Below are 21,081 nucleotides of genomic sequence, written 5' to 3' on the forward strand. Positions count from 1 at the left end.
TGCATCATGCCACTCAGAATGGTGCATAATTTAAAACTCATGAATCGTTTATTTCTAGAATTTTCTATTTAATGTTTTTGGACTGCAGTTTACCATGGGTAACTGAAACCGTAGAAAGCGAAACCGTCGATAACGGGGGGCGGGGGGGAACTACTTTATTTTGAATTTTGCAGAAAGTGACATTTCTCCTTACCTTCTTGTCAGAGCTATGCCAGAGTCCATAACTGGAGTGTTGACATGGAAAGTTTGAGAAGTGTGAAACAAAAGAGGAAGTTTGAATTTCATCAGTTACTTTTTTGCTTTTTTAGATCTTTTGAAACTAGTTATTTGCCTTGGGGTAGATTTTCTCTTTTATCAGTGCATTATTGAAACAAACAAGCAGATTAGTCTGCTTCCTGTTTGACAGTGAAGTCATAAAATATGAACAGCTTTGTTGGTCCCAAGACCTGTCTCTTTCTCACAGAGAACAGCTGATTCACAGTCAGGTCATGTAGGAGGGCCTCCCACCTGTAGGGCAGGGCCAATTCTAAGTGACAGTCTTTGCTTCACGCCAGTCTGTTCTCCTTTATTAAATTTCTCTGTGCTATCCAGTCAGAATGTGCTCAGAGTCTAGTTTGTGCTGCAAGAATCATAAAGCCATTCGTTCAGCAGATTCATGTCTAAAATGTCTCTGTGCAAAGAAGTTTAACTGTGGCCACCCTTCTAAGATCAGCTTTCCAATTCAGTATGTTTTGATTTTTGAAAAATGTATTCCTGTTTTCCCAAATAATTTATAAATTTATGTCTTCATTTTCTTGCTGTCACTTGGCAGAAATAGAATGCGCAACCCCCCAACCCAAAATCTGATTTGGATGTTGAGACTGATAATGCCACACACCCCAACAGGATGTGAAAAGGTTTATTCCTCACATAATGAGGCTTTCTGGAGAGAGCAGGGTGACTCCTAAGCAGGTGCAAAAATGGCTTGAGAGAGCATGGAGGTATGGCTGGCTTTGGCTTTTATTGTGGGGCAGGGGCAAGGGCTACCCGCAGGTAGGGCTTGTGTATTTTGGAGAGAGTTTTCAGGCTTTTTTAAACCTTTGCTCAGATGTAAGGCAAGCAGGAAAATAGGGAAAGGTGGGGCTTGAAAGCCATCCGGAGTGAAATAACAAAAATAGGGGCAGACTCTATTACATTAATCTAGCATTCTACTTGAGTAATAGTCACATTTCAGGCACAGACATTTTCCTTTGGAATATTATTAAACTCAGTCACCTAATGAAAACACAATGTGGGCTGGACGCAGTGGCTCATGCCTGTAATCCCAGCACTTTGGGAGGCCGAGGTGGGCAGATCACCTGTGGTCAGGAGTTTGAGACCAGCCTGGCCAACATGGCAAAACCCCATCTCTACTAAAAATAAAAAAAATAGCCAGGTGTGGCGGTGGACATCTGTAATCCCAGCTACTCAGGAGGCTGAGGCAGGAGAACCGCTTGAACTCGGGAAGTGGAGGCTGCAGTGAGCCGAGATCATGCCACTGCACTCCAGCCTGGGCAACAAGAGCAAAACTCCATCTCAAACAAACAAACAAACAAACAAAAAACACATGTGTTTGAACAATATTCTTACAGCATTTATAATCTTTTCTGGCACCAATTCTGTGCTGAGGAACCCACTGTGGGCTAAGGTGCCTGAGGTCGTATGTACAGATCATGCACACTGATAACACTGTGAGGGTCTCCAGATATCTTAGATAATATAGATGACAAGGATGAGTGTGGCCCCTTCTGTGTTTTAACCATATCTCCCTTGTGTAAAAATCCATTCAAATGAGCTGGATTTGTTGTTCTTTCCTCCATTCTCCTTCCAACTCTCAGCACCTCCCACCCTACCCCATTGCCAGTATTGGGAATAGAAAAAGAAATATTTCCTTTTTGCTCTTGATAATGGTTTTATTGTCATAGGTGGGGCAATAAACAGTCTTTCTCTGACATTCTCCAAAGTAGAAATGGCGAGTATCCAGTAACTCCAAACAGTAGATCAACCCTCCTAGTTAACTCAGTGGGTTTTGCACTTCTGTGCACCTGTTTCTTCTGAATGTTTCAACAGAAAGTTCCATTGCTACATATTTCATAATCCATGGTGTGCATCTGAGATTTTTACTTTGCCATGGTGGGTAAACAGCACAGAAATCATTACAACTTTGTTCCTTCTTGATCATGTGAATTTCTGAGTGTTGACTGCACTCAGAATCATTTCCTAAAGAAATTTCGATCCTTCCTTTAGGTGCTCCCTCAAATCATCTTAGTGGAGGGAAGTTAATCATTTATATAGTGGGGAGTCTTGGTTAGTTCCTTAAATTTCATAAGAAGATATCAGCCTATTGATGGATTTTTAAAGCACATGAACTTTTTCTCTTATTGAGAAAAAAAGAACAATTGTGCTCCAGCCTTATCCTGTTTTCTGGACAACTCTTACTAGAAGTTCATTTAGGAGAAATTTTACACATAAAGGATCCCCAGAAGATATGCAGTCTATTCATCTGGCTTGGTGGTTCTCAACCTCAACTGTCAGTCCTTAATATAAAAAGGCCACCTTTACTATCCTAAAATGAAATTCCTAGACAATATAACATACTTACACAAATTACTCTAAGCACCAATAGAATTTCCTAACCATATGTAAAAGAACAAACGAAAGAAGTTTGTGTTTAAAATCCTTTATATTTCAGTGTGTACATGCTGGGGTACAACCCTTCCAAAAGACATAATGAAGTAGTCTCCTGTCTGCCCCCATAGGGAGAATCACCATGATTGGGACAGCAGATGCACATGCAGATGCAGACTGGTGAATGAATGTTGTACTGTCAACTCAGATACCACAAGGACAGATCCCAGGTGGCATGTGACATGATTTTCCAAAATAATGAACAACTCTTGGTATTATACAATTCTAAACAAAACAAAGTAACAGTCTTCTCTTTGTTTTTATGGGCGTAGCATTCCTGGAAAAGCCAATGTATTCTGACACAGAACATCAAAGAATGTGTTTATATGTAAAACAGAGTTAGGTTCGGGGCTTCAATCTGTGTAAACAAATGTTTCACTTCTTTGCACACCCAGCAGGGCATTCCGGCGTGCAGGCTGTAGGTCAGTCCTCATGGTTGGTGACCGCCCTGTGTGTTGCCTGGCATCTAGCCTCCCAGCCACTGCCCAATAAAGGCCAATATTGCCCACCCTCCTGGGAGGACCAGAAATATCCCCGCAAATTTCCGAATTTCCCTGAGAAGGTAGTATTGACTCGATTGAGAAGGACTTCTTAAATATTTTAAATTTTATACCTAGATCAAGCCAGAAAACCAGAAAACTGGATGTCTGGGTCTTAAATAATCTCTTTATTAACCTTCACTTTTTATGCAATGTTCTATAATATAAACTTCTGATGGTATTATTAGAAGTATTATCAAGCAAATCATTCAATAACCCTCTTAATGTCTGCTGGGAAATTTCCATTACATCTCAGGGTCTGGAGAATCTAGAAATCTCCTTAGTATTTTCACCTTTTAATCTTGCATTAGGTTACATTTCTTTTTCAGTTTTGATGCTAGGAAGCATAGAGCCACATTGTGACCCACTTATAATAGTTATGAGGATGGATACACACACACACACACACACGCACACACATTCTCTCCTGACCTCATATTGTTTCCTCTTTTCTCTTGCTTTGAGTTATTTTTATTCTTAATATTTAAATGCTTGTATTGATGCCTCAGATCCTTTTTGAAATGAGGCAGAGAAGATAATAAGTAACTAGACTGAATAAAAAGATTTGAGACCTCTTTCTGAACATTTTTGGAATCCCAGAGGGATCTTAATGTTAGTTGTAGGCATGAATGCTACAGCCCATTAGCTCTGCCTATGAAAATGAAGTGCCTCCAAATTCCCAGCTTGCTCCATAAATAAATCATTCCACACATTTCCCAAATTTTTTTCCTCCTTGTTTCAGCACTAAATATAAGGATACTGCAAATTCTATAAAAAGAAATTACTTTATCTTTGAAAATGAAAAAACACAACCCAAATTTTTATAAAATTATTAATAAGACTAAAAGTAAAAAAATATTTTCACTTCAAATTCTCACTTACTTACATGTTATATGTTATCTTTCTGCTTTCTTCGGATGCCCATTTTCTTCAGATGCCCATATGTCTATGTGATTTTATAAAGATTTTGTGATTGTAATTTACTTCAACTTCTTTTCTGGAATTAGGTAAGATATAAGTACATTTGTTTTTTTTAATTTATATACTATGCATTTATATGCATAGTATATAATAAATGTATTAAATAAATTTATTGTGTACTATGCCTTTTATTTATATACTATGCATTTTTATTTATATACTATGCATTCATACATAGATATTTTGTAGTCTGTGCATATACTACACATACACTACAAAATACATAGACTACACATAATGTATGCATAGACTACAAAACATCTTATTTTCTTTCTTTTCTTTCACTTTTCCTTAAATATTCATAATAAGGAATTCTTTTTTCCTTAAAATAGAATTCTTGAGCCCTCTGCTGGAAGTATTCAGTATTTGTATGAAGCAGCAGTATATGGGAGTTTTACAATTCTAACTTAAGTTTTTTAAAAAGAAAGCAACATGATAGCAAAAATATATGGTCAAATTGTAATTAATATCAGGATAAATAATTTGCTAAACAGTACTTTTAAGATGATTTATATTGGAAGTTATATTCCATTTGAGTAAAATAATGATGAGAACATTCAAATGAAGGCATAATTTGAATGTATTGAATACTCTAAGTTAACTTGTGAATATTTTATTTTTGTATACTTCATAAAAACCATCCATTTACATTTTATTCTCAAATTTAGATTCATTAATTCAGCAAATACTTAATGAACACCTACTATATGCTAAGGACTTACTAGTTGTTAGGGATGCACTGATGAGAAAATGTACATTGGTGCTTTCTCACAGTAGGTCAAACTGTGATTGGAAATGCCAGATCAACACACCATTGCATTTTTAAGAAATGGATTAGCAGGGATCTGAATTATTTGCATATATAACATAGAAAAATACCTGAGTATGTTTGATGCTTCAAAAGTTGCACTAATTCAGGTAGGAGAATGGATAATTGAGTTGTAGTTCTTTGTCAAGGACTGCCTGAAAAATAAGACAGTAATTTGCATTATACTTTGCAGGAAGAAAATAATAGGCATTTATTCTATAGTAATTGAATAGACAGATATAGCACCTTAAAAACTAATGATAGCCATTCATCTCTATGTATCATGTATCTGTCAAAGTAGGAACAACTTGGCACAGCCCAAAGAATACAGCCTGTACTCCCGGCTATTCGGGAGGTTGAGGTGGAAGAATTGCTTGAACCCGGGAGGCAGAGGATGCATTGGGCTGATATCGTGCCACTGCGCCCCAGCCTGGGCAACAGAGTGAGATCCTGTCTAAAAAAAATATAAGAGAGGATAAAAATTGATTCCAGCTTGTGGCATCTTTGGAGAATTATTTGTTGAATCCAACTGTAAGAATCAATTCTGCTGGTTGGCACTGGAGAAAGTCACTGTTTTCACTTCAAATCCATGACCCCAAATCTCAGACAGATACCCAATGCCAGGCAATGTTAATCTGTTTCCCTAGTAAATTTGCTTTCCTCCTCTTCTTGATGAGTTTCTCACCCTCTCTCTTCTCTTTTTAGAGACATTCCCCTCACTAACCTACCTCCAGTACACATATCATAAGGAAAAGTCACCGTCCATTGAGAAAATAGAAACAGAAAGGAAGATCTTCATCATCTTACCATCAAATTCTCAACCCTCCCTGTTTCTGAACTTATTCTGGGTATATCCCTCTTTTACAGTGGGAGGGGTATCCCTGAACTGTCAGAGACTAATCTCCCCCACGTAGGGTCCAGATCCACTCCCTCCGACTCTGTCCAATATCACTCCTGTTATCCTGCTGCTGTCTCTTCTGCCATCAGTTTCTCCTCTACTGCATTCTATTGCTCACCTTTAAGAATCCTTTTCTTGCCAGGTGTGGTGGCTCATGCCTGTAATCCCAGCACTTTGGGAGGCCAACGCAGGTGGGTTACTTGAGGCCAGGAATTCAAGACCATCCTGGCCAACATGGTGAAACTCTGTCTCTACTAAAAATACAAAAATTAACCAGGTGTGGTGACATGTGCCTGTACTCCCAGCTAGTTGAGAGGTTGACGTGAAAGAATTGCTTGAACCTGGGAGGTGGAGGTTGCAGTGGGCCGATATCGTGCCCCTGCACCCCAGCCGAGGTAACAGACTGAGAACCTGTCTAAAAAAAAAAAAAAAAAAAAAAAAAACCCCTTCTTATTTCTATATTCCTCTTGAGCTACCACTTATTTCTCTGACTCTTCTCACAGCAGAGCTTATGAAAAGTGTTACATAAAGTTATTTTTCCTCACTTTCACTCATTTATCACTCACTTTTCCACTCCAAGTCTGGAGGCTTTTATCTTCATCATTCCACTAAAACTGTTCTTGGCAGTCACAAATATTGCCAAATCTAATTAAATACTGTCATATGTGACCTCACAGCTTCGTGCAGCATAGCCAGCCTCCCTTTTCTTTTTTTTTCTTTTTTTTTCTTTTTTTTTTTTTTTTTGAGATGAAGTCTCGCTCTGTCACCCAGGCTGGAGTGCAGTGGCACGATCTCGGCTCACTGGAAGCTCCGCTTCCCGGGTTCACGCCATTCTCCTGCCTCAGCCTCCCTAGTAGCTGGGACTACAGGCGCCCGCCACCACGCCCGGCTAATTTTTTGTATTTTTAGTAGAGTCGGGGTTTCACCATGTTAGCCAGGATGGTCTTGATCTCCTGACCTCGTGATCCTCCCGCCTTGGCCTCCCAAAGTGCTGGGATTACAAACGTGAGCCACCAGGCCCGGCCCACCAGCCTGCCTATTCTCTCTTGGCCTTTGTAACACTGCTCACTGTGGGCTTTTATTCTGTGCCACCACCAGCCTTCCCGTCACTCCTTTCCAGGTGGCTTTGCTTGCTCCTCCCCACTCTGTAGGCTTCAAATCCTTCCTGCTTCAGAACCCTCCTGTTTAATCCAACTAGCTTCCTTGGTGATGTCATCCAGACCCAAGTTATTTGGTATTGACAAATAACTTGCTATTATCTTATGCTATTGACTCCCAGCCCCTACCTATACTCTAGACCAAGGATCAGCAAACTTTTTTTGTGAGGAGCCAAAAATAATTCAGTAAATAATTCAGGCCATATAAAGTTTCTGTCACAGCTGGGTGCAGTGGGTCACGACCATAGTCTCAGCACTTTGGGAGGCCAAAGCAGAAAGATCGTTTGAGCCCCGGAGCTCGACACCAGGCTGGGCAACATAGCAAGACCCTGTCTCTATTTTAAAAAGTAAATAAAGTTTATTTCGCAACTACTCAACTTAGCTGTTGTAGCATGAAAACTGCCAGAGACAAATATGTAAATGAATAAGCATAGCTATGTTATAATAAAACTCTATTTATACTTAAATTTGAATTTCATATAATTTTCATGTATCACAACATATTATTCATCTTTTGGGTTTGGGGGACTGTTTTAAAAAGTTAAAACTATTTTTAGAAATTAATACCCCAAAAATTAAACAGGCGTAAATCTAACAAAATATGTACAAAAAATGCAGTTTTCCTATGTGAGTATCTTTTTTTTTTTTTTTTTTTTTTTTTTTTTGAGACGGAGTTTCGCTCTGTCGCCCAGGCTGGAGTGCAGTGGCGCGATCTCGACTCACTGCAAGCTCCGCCTCCCGGGTTCACGCCATTCTCCTGCCTCAGCCTCCTGTGTAGCTGGGACTACAGGCACGCGCCACCATGCCCGGCTAATTTTTGTATTTTTAGTAGAGACGGGGTTTCACTGTGTTAGCCAGGATGGTCTCGATCTCCTGACCTCGTGATCCGCCCGTCTCGGCCTCCCAAAGTGCTGGGATTACAGGCGTGAGCCACCGCGCCCGGCCGAGTATCTTTTTATATGCTTATTTGCCACCTGTCTTCTTTGGTGAGGTATCCGCTCAGATCTTTTACACCCCCCTCCCGCCCCCATTTCAAAAAATCAGATGGTTCATTTTTTTCATTGTTGAGTGTTAAGATCTTGTTTTTTGATATTTTGGATAACATTCCTTTAGCAGATGTATCTGTTGCAAATATTTTCTCTTAGCCTATGGCTTGTCTTCTCAATTTCCTAATAGTGTATTTTGTGGAGCAGAAGTTTTTAATTTTAAAAAAGTCCAAGTTGTCAATTATGTCTTTCATGGACCATGTTTTTGGTGCTGTATCTAAAGAGTCATTGTCATACCCAAAGTTATCTAGATCTTCTCCTATGTTACCTTGTAAGAGTTTTCTAGTTTTGCATTTTACATCTACATCTGTAATCCGTTTTGAGTTTATTTTTGTGAAGGATTTGAGAGCTGTGTCCAGGTTCAATTTTTGTATGTGAGTGTCCAATTAATCTAGCCCCATTCTTGAAAAGACTATCTTTTATCCATTATTATTATATTATCTATAATATTATCTATGCTCTTTCATTGACCATATTTATGTGAGTCTGTTTCTGAGCTCTCTGTTCTGTTCCATTGATCTGTTTCTCTCTTCTTTTGCCAATGTCACACTGTCTTGATAACTGTAGTTTTTTTTAGTCTTGAAGCGGGTATTGTCAGTCCTCCAACTTTGTTCTCCTTCAACATCGTGTTGGCTATTTTGGGTCTTTTGCTTCTTCATATAAGCTTTAGAATCTGTTTGTTAATACACAAAAAATAACTGTGGGATTTTGAATAAGATTACATTGAATCTATAAATTGAGTTGGGAAGAACTGACATCTTGACAATATGGAGTCCTTTTTATCCACAGACATGGGCCATCTTTCCATTTATTTAGTTTTTCTTTGATTTCTCTCATCAGAGTTTTGTAGTTTTCCTCATATATATATGTGCTAAGTCCCATGGCTAATGCCCTGATTGCCTACCAATATTCATTTCCTCTTTTTTCTTTATATAGAACTCTAATTTGATTTGGGACTATGGTGCATCTAGCCATAAAAATTTAATTTCCCAGGCTCTTTTACAGCTATGTGTAGCCACCCAGCCAATGAGATGTAAATGGAAGTCTCTGTAACAGTGTTTGTAAGAAATCTATTGTTTTTCTGATAAACAATGCCAGACTCAGCTGGCAAATGTTTTTTGTTCTTTGACCTCTCCTTTCTTTCTGCTTTGAATGTAGACATAATGCCTGGTGGTATGGCAGCCAATTTGAGACCATGAAACCACAGCCTGAGATTTGCCAAGCAGGAAAATACAAGGAGGCTGGTTGCCACTCTAAGTGGCCTAATCCAAATGTTATTGGAAAAGTAACCCTTATATTTGTTTAAGCTGCTTTGTTACATATAGACACACACAATTGTAATGATACACAAGCATTCTTTTGGTCCTTAAAACAGTTTTTGAGGTAGACATCATTATTTTCACTGTACAAATAAGAACACTGAGGCACCTGGAGTTGAGCTGTTCTCCCAAGTTGATTCTGTCAGCAAGTGTAGGAGCCAGGATTTGAAAGCAGACAGCGTGACCTAGAACACATGGGCTTATTAGTTCACCAGATGTCTGTGGAGACCCAGGATGAGGTAGGGGTGGGGAGAGATCTTGCCAAGCTTTGTATAAGGAGTGGATTTAGAGTTGGATCTTGAAATGAGTAGGATTTTGACATATGGAAATTAAAGGAATGAGGAGGACATTGAAGATGGAGAACAAGGTATTGCCTGAGTGTGGAGACTAGTAGATTACTGGCTTTAGCAAAGGGACCAGAAGGTCATAAAACTGGAGAAAAGTTTTTAACAGCAGGTTGGGGCTACATGGTGAGGTTTTCCAAATACAAGCCTCAAAAGTTTGAATTCTCTGATTCATAGAGAACTACTGAATTCTAGCCAGTATTGCTCAGATGGAGCACTTCAACAGGCATATTTATGAACATTTCCCAATATGATCACAACATTTAGAAACTGGAATTCATGTGTTTTATTATCCTTACCTGAACTATGTTTTTCTTTCTTAAAAATAAACTTCAGATGTCAGATATAGATGTGCAGTGCATGAGTCAATTTAGAAAATTCTTTTCCTTTAAATGGCTGCCACCTTGTGGATAAAAAGTCCTTAGTGCAGTGGTTTTGAAACTAAAACTAGATTGGTAGAAATTTCTCATAGCTAGATAGATCTTGTGTTTCATGTTCCATCTGTGAGAATTCTGTCATAAATAACTTTATGCAAAACATTTTATGTGTGTTGAATATATGATCATTTAACAGCTATTTATGCTGTTGTATCCAGTTCATTTGATGATTATAAATTCAAGATTCTGATAATTTGCCATTCTGTAATACTATACAGGAAAAAAAAAATACCAAAGAAACAAACTATAAAGAAGGGAGGAAATGTAATCATTTATTCTCATAAATGGTATTAGACCACTCTAATTTGCAGTTGTACAAGCGCTTGTTTTGCTTGCAAAAGCGTGTTGTTCATGTGCACACATGGTATGTGTGTTTACTAAAGACCTTAGTTGTCTGATTTTAACATGCTCAAATCCTTCAGTCCACTGTACACATAGACCAAGAAGCAGGTAATTAAAAAATCTCCTTATGCAAGAAATGAAGAAGATAGCTTTGAAGATCTGAAGATACAAAATTTTCTGAAGATGCCAACTCACTTGATCACAGGCAGGAGAAAAAAAAAGGTCACACTGAGACTTACCATGGCTGTTAAAGACAGTCCCTACCAGCCACCAATCCAAGAGGCTAGGTATAAGGGAGAGGGAAAATAAAGAGAAAAAGAAGACAGAATTGAGAGAGTGGACATCTGATGATCCAGGAGGATGAGCTGAAGAAGGAGGGGCAGGGATGCCCTGGGGACTGTGGGGTGTCCCTACTCCCACCGCTCAGTCCCAGCTCCACCCTCCCAGAGCCCCCATGTGAGGTGTGGGCACTGACTGAGGTGGCCCACGTCATCATGCTCTATACAGAATCTCACCTCAGGTCCCATTCTCCTCCTCTTTCACCGGATTCTGGCCCCATATTCTGCCTGGAGACCAGGAGTCCCAGTCTTATTGCAGTTTAGAGGGTCTTCATTGGAGATCATGCAAATTCTCCTGTCTGCTACCAACCCTGCTTGGATTGGTGACCAGAGGACATGTTGGCACACAGTATTCAAGAGTGCCTCCTACCAGGAGGGTGATTGGGCCACCTCATGACTGAATTCTGACATAATTTCTCCTACCAGGTACCCATCCCCTTCTCCTGCACTTGTGGGTTTTACACTATTACTTTGTCACACCATTCTGTGTCACCCTAAATACAGCCACTGGTCGGTTCTTATCCCCACCAAAATGAGTGTAGAGTTTCAGCATTTGGAATGGGAATCAGTCGTGGCCCTCTCCTTATTCATATGACCTTGCCTGCTACAAATTGCAGGAGATGTTCCTGGGCCAGACCCAAGTAATGAGATGTGATCATCTCATTACTTGGTGAGGTGAGACTAGAGGTGACCTCTCTGCTAGCACTGTCCAACATCCCTCATTCGAGAACAGCCCCTTGTGTTCCACCACCTGGAGGTCAGGCGGGGAAAGAATCCTCTATACAGGTGGTTCTGTGAACAAGAAACATTCATGCCCCCACCTAAGTTTGCTCCTGGTTGCATCAAAACCTGTTTGCAAATCTGGAGAAGCCCCAGCTCTACAGGTGAGCTCCACCCAAGCAGGTGAGCGTCACTGGGGGTAGAGGCAATGCCCAACCTAGTTTGGCTTCTTTTAGGGTTTCCTTTCCCCCCACTTCCCCCAGCCCGCCCCATCCCGCCCCTGGATTCTGGACCACTTGGCTTTATGTATCTAGCATTTTCTTGATCTCTTGTTATTAAGACATTTTGTCTTGTCCACTGTTTATGCCTCTAGCTGTGATATGCTCCTCCAGACTGATGAGTGACTGGATGTGTCAGGCCACTCACATTAGCTCCTATTCCCACCCTGTGTGCTTTCAGATCTTGGGGAACATCTCTTCCTTCCTGCAGGTGGTCCTTGAGTCACCCTTCTTCCTATCTGTCCTGGTTTGAGTGTCAGACTACATGTTGATGGGTATGTTTCTGAAATACCTAAATATAATGCTTGGCAGAAGTTAAATGCAGCTGTCTTAGTTGTTCTCCATAAACCTGTGTGTTTGAGATCCCTTTTTTTCTGCAGAGGTTGTTCTTTTGGCCAGTCCTTCGAGGCAGGTGACAGATAAATTCACCACACTGTAAATCATGAGGAGACTTGACCTTTGATTTCATTGCTGGCCAAACACAAATTCCCTGGAAAAATATATTCGAACAGTCAGTCACCAAAGAGCAACAAAGCTGAATCAAAAGCCTCTGGTACAGTGAGGTTTGCAAACACTGGTTCTGTTTCCATAAGTGAGAACAGCTGTCCTGGTAGGGTTTCTTTCTCCAACCCTTTAAGAGCACTTAGAGATTTTCTGTGCTAAAGCATATTTTAGAAAAACTTATGTTATAATGAGTGGAAGGAAAAAACTACAAAACAAAAAATAAAAAAAGACAAAAACAATCGCCGTATGGGTTTTTCATGTGCAGGCTTCTGGAAGTCAGCCTGCTGGACATGTAACACATGCTATGGAATATTCATCTTGTCTCTCTGTGATCACTGTCTTTGTGTTTGCTATTAGTGAGCCTTGGAGGTTATCATAAATACCAGTTGTGTGAAATGAGCGCAACTGACAGGATTTAAAGGCTAAACCAACCTTTCTAATCCATCTATTCCCCATTCTCCTCCTTAGGCCATGCCTCTTCTGCAAGACTATACAACATCCTTGCTCCTCTGATGGGAGCTGCACTAATTTCGTGAATGTCAGTCAAAGCCTCCTTCCTTGAGGAGTTGGCGAAAGACGGGTTTCTCTTTCTGACTAGATGGAAAAGGAGATATAAAGATTTTTCAGAATAAGATGAGTGTTGGTATTTTTGCCACATGTGCTTAACTTTTTCACTTCTTTACTTTGCCACTTAGAAATATAGAGTCCTTTTTTCTTTCTTATAAAATTAGTTAAAATTGATTCTGAATAAAAAACATGTGTAGAGATCAATTAATTCATTAGCATTTTAATTAAGTAACTTCATGAATATTGAGCAACAGCTATGTGTGCTGAACATTGTTCTAAGTGCTGGGGATACAAAATAGACTAAGTCCCTGCTCTCCTGAAACTTATACTGAGCAGAGAAAAATTAGCAAATAGGCAAAAAGATATATAATGTGAGGTGGTAAGCACTATGGTGAAGAATAAAACAAAGTTAGGAGCTAGGGAATGATGGCTGTTCAGGGGTGGGTTACTGTTCTACATAGGATGGTCAGGGAAGGTATCTCAGGTAAGACGTTATCTGAAGTATATGAGGGAGTGGCCCAGGCAGAGCAAACAACTAGTTGTAAACACCAAGGTGCTCAGCATATTCAATAACTTTTTAGGTTATAGTGGAGACTTTTTGGATTTTATTTTCATGGAGATGGAAAGTCTTCAGAAAGTTCTGAATAAAAACAGTGACATGATTTCATTTGTGGTTTTAAAGAACCAGTCTGGTTGATATTATTAAAACAGATAGTGTGAGTGGACAAAGGAGAAAGCAGTGCAACTAGCTAGGAGGTGATTACAGTTAAGTTTAGGAAGAGGAATGGACTGGACTAAAGCAGTGATTATCGAAGTCATGAGCAGTGATTGAATTCCGAAACTATTTTGAAGATAGAACCAGCAGGACTGGCTGATGGATTCGATATAAGGCCTAAGGAAAACAAGAGTCAAGAATGACCCTGAGGTTTTCAAACCTACCATCCAGTAGAAAGAGAACCTATAGTGATGCAGGAACAAGAGGGGAGAATTGCAGGCAGAAGGGGTTGGGATCAAGCACACAAGTGGACTGTTGGGGAGAGCAAAAGGTACTGATACAGATGTAGGTAGATAGGTTGGTAGATTTGGTGGTAAGAGGTTTTCAAAGATCATGAAGTGAAAATCCAGTGGCAGAGAAGGAGTTGGAGGCTTGAGAAAGGAGCGTGCTGAAGTAGTAGAGTGGAGGGGTGAATTGACTAGTGCCTCCCTGTGCATCAGAGCCACTCAGGACACTTGTTAAAAACACTAGTTGCCTCACCCTGAAACTTACTGATTCAGTATGTCTGGGAGGCTCCCAAGAGTTTGCAGTTTAATAAGTTCCTAGGTGATGCCAATGCTGCTGGTCCAGAGACCAGATTCAGGAAGCACTGGGCTGGGGAAATGGGTTAGAATGGAGGGCTGGGGCATCACTAAAGGCCTCCTTGCACCTGGCAGTAATTCATGTGAATTTTGTCAACATGGTCGTGTGCCTTTTTTCCAGCCCTGATCAGCTGCTCAAGAGCTGGCAGCAGTAGGTAGATAATTGGACTTAACAAAGTGAAAAATTGGTATCACCAGGATACTTGGGAGGCATTACCTCTATGTGATGTCTTTGTATTCTGAAAATGCTAGTTGAACCTCCTTTATTTTAAATAGAAAGGATAAGAGAATCTGAGACTGAGAAAGAGGAAAATGGAAGTTTGCGTATGAAGCTTACTGTTGTAGGACTTAGAAGTAAAATGGACTAATATCCACCTCTGGTCTTATATGGCAAGGAGAAACATATGCCCCTTTCCCTAAAATACCTGTTTCTGTGGTCTACTAAAGAGCAAAATTCTGAAATATACTTTGAAAAACTAAAACTCAGTTCTTTTGCATTTTATAAGATTATATCACAAACTGAATTTTAAGAGGGTTATGTTTTTCTTTGAAAATGTTTATACCCTTCTACAAAAAAATAAGTGGTTAAGTGCAGAGCTTCACACACACAAATGGTATCAGCACATGCAGTAAAGAGAAAAATTGGCTGTTAGAGTAAGGGCCACAGCTCATTAATCAGAACAGGAAGAGAAGAACTGACTTCCATAAAAAGGAACAGTGTTAATTGAAATAGAGTACGTAAAGCAGCAATTTAAATATACTATGGTATATCTACATATTAAGCAGCATTATATTTTTAAGTGTAACTGATAGTTTTATTTTTGTTAACAAACAAAACAGATTTTGCTGGAGCCAGGTGTGATCCAGGATGTGCTAGCAGCGGGCAGTCACCTACAGCTGTTGGAGCTTCTCAATTTATGCTCCCACTATCTCATCCAGGTATGTGAGCTTGCATCCTGCTCATACACCCTTCACATTCCTTTCCCCACAGTCATAAGCTGGCCCCCAACAACTGGAGCTGAATGACAGGTAAAGTGGGGGTGGGGTGTGGGCTGTGGTAGTAGAGTTTCTCCAGGACACAAGCTGAGAAGTTCCTAGGAGGGCGGCTGCAGCTCTTGCATCCAATCACAGAAGCAGGAGTCTTCCTCCACTGTCCTGCCCACCTTAGGTCCCCACGACCATTGAGCAGCCGATCAACTCAGTGACCATGCACAGGGTTCCCTGCAGGAGCCGGGGGAGGTGTCGCTAAAAGGAGTCCTAGTCCGAAGCAATATTGTCTGGTTATGGAAATAATCACAAATGCAAGAAAAGTCTAATAGTCATTGAAGATTTCAGTAACAGTATCTAGTAAATCACAAAGTCCTATGTAATTAATTACCATGTGAACTTCCCAGGCAGTAAATGCCGGAGAAGGGATGAGTAATGTGCGTATTCCTCCCTGATTTGCTGGTCAGGAAAGGCCCCATGAGAAGGAGGGAGAGAAAACCCCCGAACACCAAGCACTGACTGTGTGTTCACAGTTGTTTCACATTCAGTCCTCACAATAACTTTGCCCATTTTTATAGATCTAAAACATCAGAGACTCAAAATATATCCAACTTGTCTGAGGCAATATGGCTGGTAGGACGTTCTGATTCCAAAGACCATTTCTTGGTTGGATGAAAACTTCTTGTTAGGTAGGAGTCTGTGGGGCATCTTAGGCAGACAGCATGGCTATGAGTCTCTTGGACTTTATAGAGTGTTACTAACTAATTTGCAATTTTAGGATCCTCCCACTTCCCCCACTGGTGTCACCTTCACTTGCATTTATTATAGCATTAAAAAATTAATTTGAAGAAATAATAAATTCATCACACAATTTAATTCCACTATCTTTGTGCATATGACATGATATTAGTGAGCAGAAAAGTTTTGTTTTCCTGCCCAATTACTTTATTTTCCTTTTAAATCACTTTCTGTAATTTTAAATGTATACTTTTATCATTGACTTCTGTTACCTCTTAGGTAGTTTACAAAGCTCTTTCTCATCTAGCATCTTATTTAATCTTCCCAGCAACCCTGGAAAATAGGAACCAGCACTTCCCAGGGAGACAGTGTGAGGAAGGTCAGCCATGTTCACCTGAGGAAAATTCAAATACAGTTTATGGAATTCTTATGATTATTTGAGCACATTTAATCTAACAGTAAATGGTTAATGATTTTTTTTTACCTTATTTTCCTTTCTTTTCCTCTCAATATTGTTACGTGGTATAGGAAAGCTATTTTTAATCCCTTTCTGCCTGTAGCAAATGGGAATCATGTAGAAAGGTTATAAGACTTCAAAAGTGTGTGTTTGACTTGTGAAATTAAAATTACTTTTATTTGACATTTCTACATCAAATATTGCAACTTGGGCTTTACGCATCATCACCTGATTCACTTTCCCCATGGCAGATAGTAATCAGTGATGCATGCTGACACAGTTTGGTTAGAGCGTTAGTTATCATGATGTACATTATAAATGGTGTGTATATGCAGGGGTGTGTGGGTATACCTAAGCCTATAATTTTCTGTAAGTGAGAATTCCAGATGAACATTAAAGGTCCATGGGTATTTTCCTCTATCCCATCAGATGGGTGATCTGTTGAGATACTAAGTGACTTGTATACTTTGGAATTTAACTTCTGCATTTCATTATTGTGCTGAGGTAAAAGTGTAGCATGCATACATGCTTGTGGACCGTTATTATTCAGGCTTCTTGAATAGTGGTTGAAATTTTCACTGACTTTTCACAAATGTTTTCATTTTGTCATGTAACTTTACTTTTTCTTTTTATCTGTGATTATTGCAAGATGTCAAACTTGTAGAAGGAAATTTTGACTATATGAGTATCAAAATCATGTCGACGTAGAAACCTTCCTTATTTCAGCCTTTAAAAAATATATATACCCTGCTTCTCTCTTAGGATTATAAAAATCACAGACTGGGTCAATTCAATCTACTTTTATATTTTGATATAGTCTCCATAGCTATATCTATTTGCTGTGTTTTGGTAATATTGTTCAACTGATTTTTAATTTAATGTGGGACTATTTCATTGAGTATATAAAAATAATATTTTATTAATGTGAAAAATTCCCAGTGCTTAAAATGTACCCAGGAATTGTGCCCCTTCAATCAATGCTGATATATTCTCTATCTTTGTGTGGTACTTTGTCAACTAGGAGTTTTTGAAACCGCTCTCTTCACTAAGATGTCTGGTATTGTTTTGTTGTTCTTAAAATGCCATTCTTTCTTTGGTTTCTCTGCCAGAGGAGTGAAGGGCAGACCGGCTCAAATATACCATTGCCCTCCAGTGCTCACTACAAAGCAGCTCCAAGGGAAACCGTTGGTGGAAGCTCCCTGAGCCTCACCATCCTGCAGTTCCTGTGAACATGTAAATGGTGCTGCTGCCCTCCTGAAAAGGAAAGGGATACCTGGCACTGTGTGGGCTCCTTTCTCTTTCATTTCCTCTGGCAGGCTGCTGAGAAAAGGAACCCCACATGGCAGGAGCAGTGCTCCTCTGTGTCAATGAGGACAGCTATTTAATTAGCCCCCTAATTAGCCTTCTCACAGGTTCTCAAAGCATGTGTGTGGGAAAAAGGAAAGCTGGGCAATGTATTTAATGCTAATTGATGGGGGGGTGCCTTTCTTTAGGCTCCCATTAATCTTGTCTATAGGTTACAGTACCCTCCTGAGCAGTCTGCTTGTTTCTAGCCTCAATCTGTGGTAACCCATGGCCCCCAGACCATCACTATCTTTCCCAAGAAAGGGAACCACATATATTGAGGGCCTATCCATGCTGAGTGTTTTGCAGGGACTCCCATTTCCACTGCTAAGTCACCCCTTAACACTGGTGGGTGTTGTTTTCTTTTTACAGATGGAGAAACTTAAATTCAGAACTAGGATGTTGATCTGGCTTGAAAACTTTCATTAGCTACCCTGATCATCATTCAGGTGCATTATTTCTCCCACAAAAGTCTTTAGCCTCATCTTCAAGGCCAGGCCTGTTCCTCCCTGGCTTCATCTCCAGCCACTGTGCCTTTCCTAGCCTGCTTTGTTCTGGGCCCTAAGGCAGAGTTTTCATATTGGGACTTGCCATTAGGGGAGAAGATTCATTGGTAGATATCCTCAGTGGCGGGCAGAGCCTCTCAGTCCCCTTTAGATTGTACCAAGGGGTAGGAATGGGGAAAACTTCATACAGACACACACACACACACACACACACATACACACACCATCACCTCTGCTGATGCACAATGCCATAAGATCAGGAATATTGGCAACTGAATTTTGTGTTACATCTCCTGCAAGTGATGCATCAGAAGCTTTGATGAAGATGTCTCTTTTTTGCCGTTACCTTTCCAAAAAAGAAAAAAAAAAGTTTATACATTTTGTATCACCTTGCCCAAGCATATTATATTGTTTTATTAACAACCATTCTTTATGTGCACCAAGTATCATTGTCTTTTTAATAATATGCAATTTAAATGTATTGATAAACAGAACCATCATGTAGACTTTTCAAATAAAACCACCAAAGTACTGAATACGCAACTCCCTTTTTGATAGGAATATAGGTTTAATATCTATTGCTAGACAGCAGGTGGCAGTGTGAATCCACCAGAATTCAGTAGTTAATTTAAAGCAAAAATCAGAAAAAATAATGAAAAGAAAAATTATTTATTTTGCTACATATTAGTCTTCTGACCTAATCAGTAAAAAAGTCATTATTCACACCACACTGGGCAATATGCACTGTAATTTTTAACAAATAATAGGAAACTGTTAATGTGTTCACAGGAAATACAGTTTTGTCTTGGGCTGCTGTGGTCATTTATCAGCACACTTTGTGAAATCACTCATTTGTTCTAATTTGAATGTAAATGACTCTAAGGTTTTACAAATAAGGTGACAGACTCACATAAATGTAATTGCAGGGTTCATCTCCCTCTTTTTATATATCACTCATTAGGTTATGAATTAAATACATCGTATTAAACCAGGGGCATGTCCAATGATGATATTGTAATGGCAAATTACTCTATGCTATTAGAGGTGTATTTTTTATTCATGGACATTAATTTGTCATTAAGCGGCATTAGTTTAGCACTTTTATGTGAAAGACGTGACCTGCAAGAGGAGGCGTGCTGCTGGGATGTGAGAGGCTGGGACGCAAGGGCGATAGGTAGAGCATTTTATCATTGTAAGGGAAACAGAGAAGGGGGGGGTCTGTTGCATTTGTTTTGTTTTCTGTTTTTACAGCATGAAAGATCATTTCCTCAGATTGAAGGCATTGTTCTGTTTACAGCGTGCACATGTGGATCATCGAGTAAAGCAAAGCCCAAATTCTTACTATTCTTCACTCAGAAGCCAAGGAGGAACATAAAGGGAACAGGAGGGAGAAAGGGTCCTGCCCTAAATCTCCTTCTCTGTAACTGATGTTTACTCAGCATCCCTTGTCTTCGTTAAATTTTACACTAAGTGGGCTACAGTGAAAATTAGTTATTTTCTCTCTTCAGTTAAGGTACAAAGGTTTAAAAAATGCTATTCTCTCACTAGGGAGTTAAGGAGAATTCTGGGTGATTTTGTTCCTTTTTTTTTTTTTTTTTGTACCAATGGCAATTTCAGTAAGAAACTATGTTTCCACTTTCAATTCTGAGAAGCACTAGATTCTTGAAATACCTACATCAGGGCTGAAGGTATCTGAGTGCTGTTTTTGCATCATTCTGCACATGGTTTAATGTAGTTGGAAAATGTCTCACCACCTCCAGTTACACTGTGGGGCTTTCGAGCAGAGGGATCACACCTTATACTGATTTTATGCCTTATACCCTCCCTCCCTTCACATCGTGGGAGTTCATTATGTACTGAGGGATTGAAAGGTGCCTCCATTAAGTAATTTTTCTCTGCTTTTTAAATATTAAAATTTATGTTATAGTAGGAAAAATATACTACCAGCCTTTCATTAGTTTTGCCCACTGAATACATTTTTTTGTTAAAAATACTTTCTTCGGGGATTAAATTTGACACTGAGGAGCTCACATATTTTACAGTATTATAATAGATTATCATTTTTAATTAAGTAATACTACAATGACTTATAGGAGGTTATCTCTTCTAAACAATGTATTATTATAATTTTAATTATTAAATTAAGAGTATCACCCAAATACATAATATATAGTGGGTGTTCTGAAGACAATAACTTCTCCTCAAGATTGAGGAGAAGTTATAACTCATGTTCATTTTTCTTCAACACTGAACCATTTTTTCCCACATTAGAGAAGACAAATGATTGTACCAACATATATATTTAATATACTCATAATCAAATGCACTGAGTGCTGTTCCATAGTTCACTAGAGCTGAGGCTTTTGTGTTTGGAGAAAGTTAAAGTACAAAGTTTGGAAAACATATTACAAGTGGTTTAATCTTTTGGATTATTTTTAATCAGCGAAAATGATCAAAAAGGGTGGAAATGTATCAGACCTATTAAATCATAGCCAACTAGTAATTATTTGTTCTAATCAAGAGTATTTGCTATCTGGCATGGGTAATCCAGAATATCATATTTGCCAAATAACATTCATATTTGGCTTTGAAATGCATCATAAGATCTGCAGTAGCCATTTTAGGGTCCCAATTAATTTTTTTCATATGCTATTATGTTGGCTTTTATTCCCTAAGCCCACACTAAAGGATGTCAGGAAGCGACAGCCC

General features: G+C 39.3%; 1 protein-coding gene across 25 annotated transcripts in view, besides 3 other annotated features; it reads left to right on the forward strand.

The window, feature by feature from the left end:
* KLHL32 (kelch like family member 32) overlaps nt 1-21,081 on the forward strand; it is a 242,671-nt gene that overhangs the window by 151,365 nt on the left and 70,225 nt on the right. For 23 of the 25 annotated variants that reach the window (NR_136580.2, NR_104421.2, NR_136579.2 and 20 more), the window contains one exon: nt 15,181-15,279. The exons of 1 other annotated variant lie outside the window; for it this stretch is intronic. Coding sequence is in view for 17 of the 24 variants with exons in the window: in NM_001323258.2 (NP_001310187.1) it covers nt 15,181-15,279 (99 nt within the window). In the remaining 7 variants the exon portion in view is untranslated. Of the gene's footprint in view, nt 1-12,885; nt 13,057-15,180; nt 15,280-21,081 lie in introns of all 25 variants that reach the window. One more of the 25 variants, NM_001286254.3, reaches the window with a different exon arrangement.
* Nucleotides 262-321: an enhancer, noted in NCBI's record as "active region_24847". NCBI's record gives its function as "activates an Ori minimal core promoter by ATAC-STARR-seq in GM12878 lymphoblastoid cells {active_cell/tissue: GM12878}" and the evidence as "EXISTENCE:reporter gene assay evidence [ECO:0000049][PMID:35858748]".
* Nucleotides 306-600: a silencer, noted in NCBI's record as "tiled region #4079; K562 Repressive DNase matched - State 3:PromF". NCBI's record gives its function as "represses a minimal TATA promoter and a strong SV40 promoter by Sharpr-MPRA in K562 cells {active_cell/tissue: K562}" and the evidence as "EXISTENCE:reporter gene assay evidence [ECO:0000049][PMID:27701403]".
* Nucleotides 502-561: a silencer, noted in NCBI's record as "silent region_17410". NCBI's record gives its function as "represses an Ori minimal core promoter by ATAC-STARR-seq in GM12878 lymphoblastoid cells {active_cell/tissue: GM12878}" and the evidence as "EXISTENCE:reporter gene assay evidence [ECO:0000049][PMID:35858748]".

This window comes from Homo sapiens, chromosome 6 (genome assembly GCF_000001405.40).
Source record: "Homo sapiens chromosome 6, GRCh38.p14 Primary Assembly".
Classification (NCBI taxonomy): domain Eukaryota; kingdom Metazoa; phylum Chordata; class Mammalia; order Primates; family Hominidae; genus Homo; species Homo sapiens.